The sequence below is a fragment of the Homo sapiens genome, chromosome 6 (genome assembly GCF_000001405.40).
Source record: "Homo sapiens chromosome 6, GRCh38.p14 Primary Assembly".
Taxonomy (NCBI): Eukaryota; Metazoa; Chordata; class Mammalia; order Primates; family Hominidae; genus Homo; species Homo sapiens.
In genome coordinates, this window is record NC_000006.12 from 83,029,445 (window position 1) to 83,043,209 (window position 13,765).

General features: G+C 40.3%; 1 protein-coding gene across 17 annotated transcripts in view, besides 1 other annotated feature; it reads right to left on the minus strand.

Annotated features, from left to right (window-relative positions):
- Positions 1-13,765, minus strand: part of UBE3D (ubiquitin protein ligase E3D) — a 185,040-nt gene that overhangs the window by 148,643 nt on the left and 22,632 nt on the right. For 16 of the 17 annotated variants that reach the window (NR_146809.2, NR_146808.2, NR_146807.2 and 13 more), the window contains one exon: positions 8,972-9,041. Coding sequence is in view for 13 of the 17 variants with exons in the window: in XM_017011458.3 (XP_016866947.1) it covers positions 8,972-9,041 (70 nt within the window). In the remaining 4 variants the exon portion in view is untranslated. Of the gene's footprint in view, positions 1-2,757; positions 2,863-8,971; positions 9,042-13,765 lie in introns of all 17 variants that reach the window. The other variant, XR_007059385.1, reaches the window with a different exon arrangement.
- Positions 8,489-9,688: an enhancer, noted in NCBI's record as "CDK7 strongly-dependent group 2 enhancer chr6:83747652-83748851 (GRCh37/hg19 assembly coordinates)". NCBI's record gives its function as "activates an origin of replication core promoter dependent on BRD2, BRD4, P300/CBP, MED14 and CDK7 cofactors, with strong dependence on CDK7, by STARR-seq in HCT116 cells {active_cell/tissue: HCT116}" and the evidence as "EXISTENCE:reporter gene assay evidence [ECO:0000049][PMID:35650434]".

Genomic DNA, 13,765 nt, shown 5'->3' on the forward strand with positions numbered 1-13,765 from the left:
TATTTTTCTTTGATTTTTCTAATTTATTGAGATTTGCTATCTGTTCAAAGCTTTTCTTAAAAAGTTATTTGCCATATTTATAATAGCTGCTTCCACATGTTTGTCTGCTCAATTGAATATCTGTGCTTACTAAGTACCTGCTTATTAAGACCTTTTTTTCTTGAGTATGAAACATTATTTTCTGTTTCTTTGCACATCTAATAATTTTTAGACAGAAGCAGGACATTGTGTGCAATATGTTGTAGCAACTGTGGATTTTGTGTTGCTCTTCTGAAGGTTGTTGGTTATTGGTTGGGATAGCAGTCAATTGACTGGCCTGGACTCGAACTGTGAAATGTATCTCCCCACAGTATGTAGCCACTAATGTCTCTACTCAGTTTTAATTTTTTTTTAGTCTGGCTCCCTAGCAAGTATCCACTGTACCTGCATAGGTTAGCTGTCAGCAAATAATTTGGGGCAAGGCTCTACTCAAACACCTCAAGCCAGTAAGGCTTCTTACGAAAATTACCTTCTGCTACCCAAGTTGTATGTGGATTGAGGAATGCAATCAAAGTCACAGCAAATTCACAGGTCCCCCTAAGCTTTCAATCCTTACTGAAAATACATATAATAGATACTCCCTGCCATTTTTTGTGTGTATGCAGAGTTTAGCAGTCAGCCAGAGTTGTGTTAGGGCAGAGAAGTTATCTCAGCCCTTCTATCACCCTTTGTGCAGCAGGTGGTTTTTGCATTGCTATAAATACCTGAGGCTGAGTAATTAAAATTAAAAAAAAAAGACGTTTCTGATATGGTTTGGCTATGTCTCCACCCAAATCTCATCTTAAACTGTAGCTCCCATAATTGCCATGTATCATGGGAGGGACCCAGTGGGAGGTAATTAAACCATGGGGGCATGTTTTTCCCATATCATGTTCTCATGATAATGAATAAGTCTCATGAGATCTGATGGTTTTATAAAAGACAGTTCCCCTGCACAAGCTCTCTTGCCTGCTACCCTGTAAGACCTGCCTTTCCTCCTCCTTCACCTTGTGCCATGATTGTGAGGCCTCCTCAGCCATGTGGAACTGTGGGTCCATTAAACCTCTTTTTCTTTATAAATTACCCAGTCTCAGGTGTGTCTTTATTAGCAGCATGAGAACGGACTAATACAGTAAATTGGTACTAGTAGAGTGGGGTGTTGCTGCAAGGATACTGGAAAATGTGGAAGCGACTTTGGAATTTGGGTAACAGGCAGAGGTTGGAACAGTTTGGAGGGCTCAGGAAAATGTGGGAAAGTTTGAAACTTCCTAGAGACTTGGAGGGCTCAGAAGATAGGAAATGGGGGAAAGTTTGAACCTTCCTAGAGACTTGTTGAATGGTTTTGGCCAAAATGCTGATAGTGATATGGAAAATAAAGTCCAGGGTGAGGTGGTCTCAGATAGAGATGAGGAACTTGTTGGGAACTGGAGCAAGGATGACTCTTGTTATGCTTTAGGAAAGAGACTGGCAGTATTTTGTCCCTGCCCTAGATATCTGTGGAACTTTGAACTTGAGAGAGATGATTTAGGGTATCTGGTGGAAGAAATTTCTTCCTTTTTTTTTGAAACCGGGTCTCATTCTGTTGCCCAGGCTGGAGTGCAGTGGTGCGATATCAGCTCACTGCAACCTCTGCCTCCCAAATTCAAGTGATTATCATGCCTCAGCCGCCCAAGTAGCTGGGCCTACAGGCGTGCACCAATATGCCTGGCTAATATTTGTATTTTTTGGTAGAGACAAGGTTTCACCATTTTGACCAGGCTGGTCTTGAACTCCTGACGTCAAGTGATCCACCTGCCTCGGCCTCCCAAAGTGTTGGGATTACAGGCATGAGCTACCATACCCAGCCTGGCGGAAGAAATTTCTAACCAGTAAAGCATTCAAGAAGTGACAGAGCATAAAAGTTTGGAAAATTTGTAGCTGGACGATTAGGTAGAAAAGAAAAACCCATTTTCTGGGGGGAAATTCAAGCCTGCTTGCATCTTGCATCAGCGTGACCTGGATGTGAAACATGAAGTCAAAGGAGAAATTCAAGCCACTTGCATCAGTGTGATCTGGCTGTGAGACATGAAGTCAAAGGAGATCATTTTGGAGCTTTAAGATTTGACTGCTTTGCTGGATTTCGGACTTCCATGGGGCGTTACAGTCAAGCCTGCTTGAATTTACACTGCTGCAGAAATTTGCGTAAGTAACAAGGAACCAAATGTAAATCACTAAGACAATGAGGAAAGTGACTTCAGGGCAGGTCAGAGACCTTTGCAGCAGCCCCTCCCATCACAGGCCTGGAGGCCTAGAGGGAAAAAATGGTTTCCTGCTGTGTGCAGCCTAGGGACTTGGTGCTCCGTGTCCCAGCCGCACTAGCCATGGCTAAAAGGGGCCAAGGTACAGCTCGGGCCCCGGCTTCAGAGGGTACAAGCCTCAAACCTTGGCAAATTCCATGTGGTGACAAGCCTGTGGGTGCACAGAAGTCAAGAGTTGAGGTTTGGGAACCTCCACCAAGATTTCTGAGACTGTATGGAAACGCCTGGATGTCCAGGCAGAGGTGTGCTGCAGGGCCGCAGCCCTCATGGAGAACCTCTGTTAGGGCAGTGCAGAAGGGAAAGGTGGGGTGGGAGCTCCCATGTAGAGTCCCCACTGTGGCACTGCCTGGTGGAGCTGTGAGAAGAGGGTCACAATCCTCCAGACCCCAGAATGATAGATCCATAGACAGCTTACACCGTATGCCTAGAAAAGCCACAGTACCTCAACACCAGCCCATGAAAGAAGCTGGGTGGGGCCGTACCCGGCAAAACCACAGGAACAGAGCTGTTCAAGGCCATGGGAGCCCACCTCTTGCATCAGCATGACCTGGATGTGAGACATGAAGTCAAAAGAGATCATTTTGGAGCTTTAAGGTTTGACTACTTTGCTGGATTTCAGACTTGCATGGGGCCTTTAGCCCCTTTGATTTGGCCAATTTCTCCTATTTGGAATGGGTGTATTTACCCAATGCCTGTACCCCCATTGTATCTAGGAAGTACCTAACTTGTTTTTGATTTTAAAGTCTCATAGGTGGAAGGGACTTGCCTTGTATCCGATGAGACTTTGGACTTGAACTTTTCAGTTAATGCTGAAATGAGTTAAGACTTTGGGGGATTGTTGGGAAGGCTTGGTTTTGAAATGTGAGGACATGAGATTTGGGAGCAGCCAGGGACAGAATGATATGGTTTGGCTGTGTCCCCACCCAAATCTCATCTTGAATTGTTGCTCCCATAATCCCCAGGTGTCATAGAAGGGACCTGGTGGGAATTAACTGAATCATGGGGGCGGGGTTTTCCTGTCCTGTTCTTGTGATAGTGAATAACTCTCACAAGACCTGATGGTTTTATAAAGGGCAGTTCCCCTGCACATGCTCTGTTGCCTAATGCCATATAAGAAGTGTCTTTGTCCCCCTTCACCTTTTGCCATGATTGTGAGGCCTCCCCAGTCATGTGATACTGTGAGTCTATTAAACCTTTTTCTTTATAATTTCCCAGTCTTGGGTATGTGTTTATTAACAGCATGAGAACAGACTAATACAGTTTCATTGTCTCATGGTTCTCCAGGCTGTACAAGCAAGCCTCCAGCATTTGCTTGGCTTCTGGTAAGGACCTTGGGAACCTGACAATCATGGTGGCAGGCAAAGAAGGAGCAAGGTGTCTCACATGGTGAAAGCAGGGATGAGAGAGAGAGGGGAGAGGTGTTACACACTTTTAAAAAACCAGATCTCATAGGCATTCCCTCATGATCATGAGGACAGCACCAAGACATTCATGAGGGATCTGCCCCCTGACACAAACACCTCCCACCACACTCTACCTCAAAAATTGGAGATTACATTTTATTATTGTAAATTGGGGATTATATTTTATTATTTTATGAGATTTAAAGGAGACAAACATCAGAACTATATCACTGATATGGTTTGGAGCTGTGTCCCCACCCAAATCTCCTGCTGAATTGTAATCCCTAATGTTGGAGGTGGGACCTGGTGGGAGGTGACTGGATTATGGCGGTGGGTCCTTCATGAATGGTTTAGCACCATCCCCTTGGTGCTGTACTCATGATGGTGAGTGAGTGACTTCTTACAAGATCCACTAGTTTAAAAGTGTGTAGCACCTCCCTTCATTCTCTCTTGCTACTGCTTCCACTATGTGAGATGCCTCACTCCTCCTGTTTTGTGCCATGATTGTAAGTTTCCTAAGGCCTCCCCCAAACCAGAAGCTGCTATGCTTCCTGTATAGGCTGCAGTACCATACGCCAATTAAACCTCTATTTTCTTTATAAATTACCCAGTCTTGGGTATTTCTTTATAGCAATGGAGAAGGGACTAATACAATCACTTTGCTTCCAAAATATCCTCCTTAAAATTTCTACTTTCTCCACCACCTACCCTAAACCAAACCCACCATGTATAGACAGTAAAGCTGTGGGCTTTTCCTGCCTAAGTTGGGAAGATATAAGGTGACAAGGTCCGTCTGCCTCCCCAGGCAAAACAAAATTACAAACTTGCTATTCTTTCCCAATATAGTAGCAGTTTTCCACTACTTAAATAGTTCTCAAATTGTTGCTTCACTTTTGTTCATTTTCTAGTGCCCTAATATGGTTCTTATTAATTTTTAAAATTGTCCAGTTTTGTACATGTTTTCTACAGAATAAAATTGCCCATTCTCTTCATGACACTATTTTGGGAAGTGGAATCCTAGTGATTTACTTTTAGAACAGATGTGGATATAGATCTCTTATACCACCCCACACACAAACTCACACATATTGACCTTCTAATATACTTTTGTATCATACTACAATGTTTAGTTAAGTGAATATTCAGTGTTTACATTATTATTACCATAATACTACCATGGAGATGTTTCTTTTCTTGTTCAACCTTTTTTCTTCTTCCTGCAGTGAATAACTGCTTCAATCACCTTTTAGCTAATTCTTTCCATATAATGAAATGGTTTGTCTCGAGATTAGCTGTCGTCACATGTTGATCTAGTTTGGCTCTGTGTCCCCACCCAAATCTCATGTCAAGTTGTAATCCCCATGTGTTAAAGTTGGGGCCTGGTGGGAAGTGATTGGATCATGGGGGTGGTCTCTAATGGTTTAGCACCATCTCCCCCGTCTCACGATAGAGTTATCACAAGATCTGAGGTTTAAAAGTGTGTGGCAATTCCCTGCTCTCTCTCTCCTGCCCCCTTATGAAGAAGGTGCTTGCTGCTTCTTTGCCTTCTGCCATGACTGTAAGTTTCCTGAGGCCTTCCCAGCCATATAGAACTGTGAGACAATTAAACCTCTTTTCTTTACAAATTACCCAGTCTCAAGTAGTTCTTTACAGCAGTGTGAAAATGGACTAATACACATCAAACAAATCAAATAATTTATCAATTCCACTTTATAACTAAAAAAAAAGAAAAAAAATCAGCCAGGTATGTTGGCTCATGCCTGTAATCCCAGCACTTGGAAGGCTGAGGCAGGAGGATCACTTGAGTCCTGGAGTTTAAGATCAGCCTGGGCAACATATGGAGACCCCACTTCTACAAAAAATTAAAAATTAGTCAGACATGGTGGTATGCACCTGTGGTCCCGGCTACTTGGGAGGCTGAGATGGGAGGATCACTTGAGCCCGGGAGGTTGAGGCTGCCATGAGCCATGATCACACCACTGCACTCCAGCCTGGGCAACAGAGTGAGACTATGTCTCAAAAAAAAAAAAAAAAATCTTTATTGCAATCTTCTTTCCCATTTGCTTCAATCTAGGCTGCTATCCTGTAGTCCTGCTGCCCACTCCTTACCCTGGGACTTCCTTATCCCGCTCTCCTTTATTGTACACCTTGTTACCCAATTCCATGTCATCTCTTCCTAGATTGAATCCCTAGTTTAGATGATTTATATTTTATGGTGAATTACTAAGAAAAATAAACCTTTGAGAATTGTGTTTTGAGACTTTGTTATTTGCAAAATGGCTTTTATTATTTTCATATTTGACTGATAGCTCGACTGTGTATAGAATTCTGGGCTGAAATCTTTTTCTTTTCAAATTATGAAGGCACTGCTTCACTGCCTTCTAGCTTTCAGCTCTGCTGTTAAGAAGTTCAATGCTATTCTAATTCTTAATCTGTCTTATATTAACTGCCTTTTTCCCTCTGCAAACTTCATCCTTGGTGTTCTGAAATTATTCACTGTTGTGGCCTGAAGTGGCTTCCTTACTATTCCTCTATTAATTACAGTGGGTACTTAGTGGACCCTTTCAGTCAAGAAACTGAAGTCCTAGCTCTGGAAAATAGACTTGTATTTTTGGTATTTTTGTTATTGGATAATTTCCTACATTCTGTTGTCTCTATTCTCTCTTTCTAGAATTTCTATAAGCTAGATGTTGGTTGTCCTGAAAGGCTCAATTCACTTATTCATTCAACAAATACTTACTGGGTACTCACTATGTGCCAGACATTACACTAAGTGCTGAGATTACAGGGATAGACAAGATAGACAATGTCTCTACCTTCAGGAAACTTAACTGATTACATATATTTTTTTGTACTTCTTTTTTTTTTTTTTTTTTTTTGAGATGGAGTCTTGCCCTGTTGCTCAGGCTGGAGTGCAGTGGCACGATCTTAGCTCACTGCCATCTTTGCCTCCCGGGTTCAAGCGATTCTCCTGCCTCAGCCTCCCTAGTAGCTGGGATTACAGGTGCATGTCACCATGTCTGGCTAATTTTTGTATTTTTGGTAGAGACAGGGTTTCACCATGTTGGCCAGGCTGGTCTTGAGCTCCTGACCTCAGGTCATCTGCCCATCTCGGCCTCCCAAAGTGCTGGGATTACAGGCGTGAGCCTCCGTGCCCGGCCTCTTCTTTAATTTTCAATCTCTGTCTTTTGGTTTTAATTTCTGGCCTAATTCTTTACTTTTATCTTCCAATTCTTTAATTTTTTTTTTCTGAAGCTATTACATTTTTAAATTCCACATTCTCTGAATTATGGAAGCAATATTAGTTTATTTCTTCAAGGGCATTTTTTTTTTAAAGATTTACTTCTGCTGTATACATAATGTGTTTCTTCTCAGTGCTTTTAATTTGCTTGCTTAATCATTTATTTGCCTTGGTTTCTTTTTTGTTGATTTACTCAAATATTTGGTGATTCTCAACAATTCATTTCAATTTTAGTGTAAGGCAGTGAAATGCTGAGAGAAAGTTCTTGGGTATAGGTACAAGGTTTGTTGACTGTAGGATGAGTGAATATAAGCTCTCTCTTTTTTTTTTTTTTTAAGAGATAGAGTCTCCCTATGTTCTCCAGGCTGAAGTGCAGTGGCTATTCATAGGTGCAATAATAGTGCACCACAGCCTTGAACCCCTGGGCTCAAGTGACCCTCCTGCCTCAGCCTCCCAAGTAGCTGGGACTATAGGCATGCACCACTGTGCTCAGTTTAACCTCATTTTTGTTGAACAACGACATAACCTCATTTTTGGTTGAATGTCCCCAAAGAATCAGTGTCTGCAAGTCTTTTCTCTAGTTGGTATTCTTCCATTATTCAAAAAAAAAGGGTGTGGGGGAGGTCTTCCAATCTCCAACCTTGAGGATTACAGAAGCAAGTTGAAAATGAAGTGGGAAACCTAGAAGTCTAGTAGCTGTATATATACACTTTGAACCAATCATCCTGCTTCCAGCCCCTTGCCTCAGACTGCCTTCCCTGTCACCTGCTGCCTCCAAATTCTGACTTGTTTTGGGGCTCTACAGAGATTATTGGCCCACTCCTTATCCAAATGATCTACAGACACCAAAGCTGCAGCTCCCTCCAGGCTGCCAAGTGTGTTCCAAAAAAGTTTGTTTACATCTCTTGTTTATGTCATTGTCATCTCCTCTCCATTTCTCTTTGCCTTTGTAGATATATATCTTTTCATTCCTTAACTGACATTTTAACAGGACTTCAGGGAGAAAATAATTTAAAAATCAATTCACCTTATTTAACCAGAAGGCTTAACTTTTTCTAAGGTGTTGCTTCAGAGGCTTGCTTTCATTTTCCAAAAATGACGTTAAGGATGGTACCTTTTACTAACTCATTTTTCCTTTCTGGCTCACTGTGAACAAGTAACTTCTTACAAGATTTTGACGATTAAACAAACAAATAAACAAAAAATACCATCATCTGCCTTCCCTTAAGTACAATTGCTTCATGTAAATCACATCTTCTAATTAACTGTATTAAAAGTAATTATTCATCATCCAAAGCTAACACAGCATGTTGTAGTTCTCTAGACACTATAAACCATATCTTTAAACAGCAATGCATTTTAATTATCAGGATTTTCATTATTATATTTTAAAGTAGTATAACAGAGTTTACATAAAATATAATCAATGCTACTGGGGAACCAAAAGAATAAGGGACAAAGTACAAAATTCGGAATTTTTTTTCTTCCATTTCAACAGGTCCTCTCCCATCCCCAGCCCCAAAATACAGCCCCGAGCCAGATGGCAGCCAAGAAAAACAACTTCTCCATCTCTGGGCACCAATTCTTCTAACTGAGGAGGTGTATTAAGAAAAAAGCTCTGTTTCGTGAGTTACCAGGAAGGTAAAATTAAAAAAAAAAAAAAAAGAAGAAGAAGAAAGAAGGAAACAAAGAGAGAAAAAAGCTCCAATTTTCTTGAAATAGGCCCAAGAACAAACTTTATACTATTGCTTTATATCTACAAAGAGGCTATGAAACTCTGAAAATGACTCAACTTCTTAATACTTAAAATTCAATACTCTGTATTTATGAAGGTCAAAATATACAAACTTCTTGGTATATTGGATGGTATGTTACTTGGGGTCTATTTTGAAAAGCACCAATTCCACAACATATATTAATCATCTATCTTTCCTATATATTTACTATAAAATATCATTCTGGCTTTTAAGCAAGAAGCCAATCATTTTGGCTTCTTGTTATGAAATTCTTACCTGATGACACGGTCTCTCCCAACATTACCTTGCAACGCTTACAAATTACTTTGGTATTTGCCTTTGGTTCCTGTAGAACAGAAAAATGTCATTTAAATGTCATTCAGCTTTTCTTAAAAGGAATATATAATTTTAACATAGTCCCCAGAGTATACATTGAACTTTACATTTTATTCTGCCCTCTACTAAATACTGGGAATACATTTAGCTTGTATGCATAATTCACATGCACAGAGAAAATTTTTCAAGTCTTAAGAAACAGTAACACACAGATTCACTTTTCCAAAACCAGCCACTTCTTGATAGTCCAAAAGTTGCCAAATAATTTGAATAAGTAGTACCTTATATTTCTAAAAAGCACTTCCAAATAGCCTTATAACTTAAAACAGGCAGATGGTGGGCAACAAAGACAGGGTTGATGACTTGCCCCAACTCATGTGTATAGAACACAGAAGAATCAGAACTTGAACTCACACTATTTTGACTCCTAGTCCAGTGTAATTTATGTAAAAGTAACCCATAACCCTTAACTACAATAAATGAAAAGTTAAAAATATCTAGTCTGTTCATATACTTCCATTTTTTCCACTTAGGATCGGCACTGTAACTGGAAAGACAGGCAGTGCTCTGGGACAATTCCTGAAACAAACCTAAGCTTCAAAAATCCAAATTCGCTATTTGAGATACAGATTAAAATAGCTAGCATTTGCCTAATCAATAAAGAATATGCCTTTTCCCATCCATAGTTATACCTTTGTTAAAACCATACATTCCTCTCGTCCAGATATACTGTAACAAGGCAGAAGCCATATACAGTGGGCAGGGAAAAGGAGGTTCTACAACTCTGGATACTCCAGGGTACCTTTCCTGGGAAACCACAGAATAGGTGTAGGCTGAAGTAAAGAAGGGCAGTGACTTCTGATGTGGGATAATATGTGTATTTAATCTAAGGAAAAAAATTTTAACTGATTAATATACATTTAAGTATTTTTTCTTTGGCATAAATAATTTCCTGAAAAATTGAATAAAAAGTACATTTAAACTGAGTTCCATGGAAGTGCTGCTAGATTCAGACAGAGCTGATGTCTGAATCTGGGTCTCTCTGATGCTAAAGCTTCTGAACACTATGCTAAGTGTTTTCCAAACAACAGCTCATGTGCCCCATTAGTGGGAACCAATTCATGGAACCAATTCAGTGGATTACTGTGTTTTGTTTTTTTTTGTTTTGTTTTATTTTGTTTTGTTTTGAGATGGAGTCTTGCTCCATTGCCCAGGCTGGAGTGCAGTGGCGCGACCTTGGCTCACTGCAACCTCCGCCTCCCGGGTTTAAGCAATTCTCTGCCTCAGCCTCCCTAGTAGCTGGGATTACAGGCACCTGCCACCATGCCCGGCTAATTTTTGTAGTTATAGTAGAGATGGTTTCACCATCTTGGCCAGGCTGGTCTTGAACTCCTGACCTCGTGATCCACCCACCTTGGCCTCCCTAAGTGCTGGGACTATAGGCGTGAGCCACCACACCAGGCCTACTGTGTTTTTAAAAAATGAAATACAATAGAACAGAAAATATGACAGTGCTTCAAACACTGAGTAAGTACTGCTTCAAGAAACTTTTATTTGAGGTGTGTTTGTGTATGTGTGCATGAGTGTATGTGTGTTATCAGATCTTGATGTAAAAAAATATATTCAATGCTGGGCACCATGGCTCACACCTGTAATCCCAGCACTTTTGGAGGCCAAGGCAGCCGGATCATGAGGTCAGGAGTTTGAGACCAGCCTGACCAACATGGTGAAACCCCTGTCTCTACTAAAAATATAAAAATTAGCTGGGCGTCGTGGTGCGCGCTTGTAGTCCCAGCTACTCAGGAGGCTGAGGCAGGAGAATCACAGGAACCCGGGAGGGGAAGGTTGCAGTGAGCCGAGATTGTACCACTGCACTCCAGCCTGGGCAACAGAGCGAGACTGACTCTCTCTCTCTCTCTCTCTCTCTCTATATATATATATATTCAATCAGGGGTCAAAGTCAAGAGCAACAGCACAATTCATACTGGGGTCTTTCTCTATGGCCTATTCTTTCCCCCAGCCTCAAACACATGCAACTAGTAAAAAAATCCGTAAATGCCTACAGCTCTTCTATTTAAAAACTTCTGAGATGAATCCCTTCATACACTGAATTAACCTTCAGTAACATAAACACTTATTCCATTTTTTCCTGGTCTAGCTGCAGTATTTGGACAGATTCTGCAGCCTTCCTCAAAAGTCTCTGCTGAGGAAACAAAAGCACACATGAACTTCATAAGTCAGTTCAGTCCTGGCTCAAACTTTTATCCAGGCACACTCCCAAAGTGGGCCCCACAGTGTGCCATCTCTGGCCATTGCACTGACATCCTTATCAGGCACATCACAAATGGCAGGTCTCAGAGCCTGACCCAGGTGGGAAACTGGATGGTGTCATACCCATGAGAGGTAAGAGACAGACACAGAAACCTAGGAAGGTGCCAATTTATTCAGGTCCAGGAGGAAGAGAACTCAGAAAGCCAGTATGGTCTACAAAGGGTGCCATTCTGGCAGTTTAATGCTTTCTTACAGTAAAACATACCTGCATGGCTCCAAGTTGATATTAAAAATATTTTTTAAAGAGTACTATTTTATACAAGTTAAATCTGATCACACTCATTAAATGTTACCAAAAACTAAGGGCTTTATTAAAAACTAATATTGGTATTGTAATAGCAATGCTTGAAAAGAAAGAATTTTTCTATTTGAAGCAGAAAATTTTTTTTCAAGTGCTTTGATATGTACTTCCTTTGTAACTGCCATCACAGAACATCTCACTTTGTCTTTCAAGGGGGCAGGAGAAGTGTTTTTTGTTTGCTTGTTTTTAAAATAAGATTCTATCCTTATCAGACATGGGTAATCAGGATTTAAAAATCAGCTCAACAACAACCAAATTACCTCAATCACATGTGTGGCTCCTGATTCAAACAAACCTATGCTAAAAGATTCTTTTAAGACAATTGATAAAATCTGTATATGGCCTGGTAGTATATCATCAAGGAATAATTGTTAATTTTATCAGGTGTGATAACGGTGTGGCTACATTTTTTAAATTCCTATTTTTAGATGTAGGGATAAAATGACAAGACTGTTTTAAGCATTTCAGGAAAAAAAGAGCAGATGAAGCATACTTAATGAATCCATATTGAAATTCACAATACTATTCTTCTTATACTTGTGAATACTTACAGAGTTTGACAACACATTTTTCTAAGAAAACAAAAAAGACACACTTATGGATTTAACAAAACAAATTACCAAAAGCAACTAATAATTACTAAGTACTCCAAGAAAGAAAAAAAGGTAAAGATGTTAGTCATCCTTGCTAGCAGTAATATTAATGTAATCAAAGATCAATTTTATTTGCTCTTTAAAAAAGAGTGAAGCCTTGAATAATATTTTGACTCTTATAAAAGGATGAAATGCCATCCTTATCGTCTATTATATAATTTTTTTTTTTAGACAGTGTCTCGCTCTGTCACCAGGCTGGAGTGCAGTGGTGCAATCTTGGCTCACTGCAACCTCTGCCTCCCAGGTTCAAACGATTCTCCTGCCTCAGCCTCCTGAGTAGCTGGGACTACAGGCCCCCGCCACCACACCCGGCTAATTTTTTGTAGTTTAGGAGAGACAGGGTTTCACCATGTTGGCCAGGATGGTCTCAATCTCCTGACCTCATGATCCACCCGCCTCAACCTCCCAAAGTGCTGGGATTACAGGCATGAGCCACTGCGCCCGGCCCAAGATGCAAAATTTGTATTATGTGGGCAGGCACAAAATAGCACAAGAGAGGTGATAAATGAATACACCAATAGGGAAATCTTCAGCAGGTATCTTTTAAAAATAAGTAGATACTGCTGCAATAACAAAGCCTCCAATAAAGTATTATAAACTCTAAAAGGCTATGGAAGAAAAGAAAGTGTTGGGCTTCATGTTTGTTTGTGCTGTTTTTAAAAGCAGATCTTTTTAATTAAACATATTATAGCACATAAATTTCATTTAAAGAGAATCTCTGCTTTGTAATGCATTTTTCTTCACCTATCCTTCAAGGAAATAATAAGGCAAGTTGTGTAATGAAGCAGCCTAACAGTGTGGGAACTCTACAGAGCAAACCTCAAAGACAGACATTGTTGTGCACTAATTAAGTCAATATATCTGAGACACCACAGGGCTGCTCAGAGAGGTGGATTAGCCTCGTGTCCTCCCTTTTATTTTCCCTTTGTGTCGTTTCAATTTCTAAGGACCCTTGATATTGTCTCATCAAAAAAATGTTTCCCAAGAGATACCATTAGGATGCTTTGTTACTATGTGACATTTCAAAACCCTGCTAGATGGCTAGACTGGGTGATAGGAGAAATAGGTTTTCAATAGCACAGAACAGCCTTGTTCCCACAGGAGCCTTGAGAGCGCTGTTTACGCAGTCCCTCCAAATTTATGTTTCTATTTTGGTCACAGGCACACTCTTTGGACTGCTACAATATACAATTAAAGAGGGACTTTCATCTAGGCTAACTTGAAGAAAATCTTTTCAACAGCATCTTGTCTTGATAGTACAGAATTTCCCACAGTCTCCTTGATACTAAAACTGTAATGTCTAAAAATATGATGGGTCTTTCTTTAATGGATAAGATAGCTGTTTACTATGAAGAGAAATTCTTGTAAATGGCATCACATAACTGATAAAGATGTAAATGTGATGAATATATTTCAGCACAGAGTGCTGAGTTTATTTAAAAAGGGAAA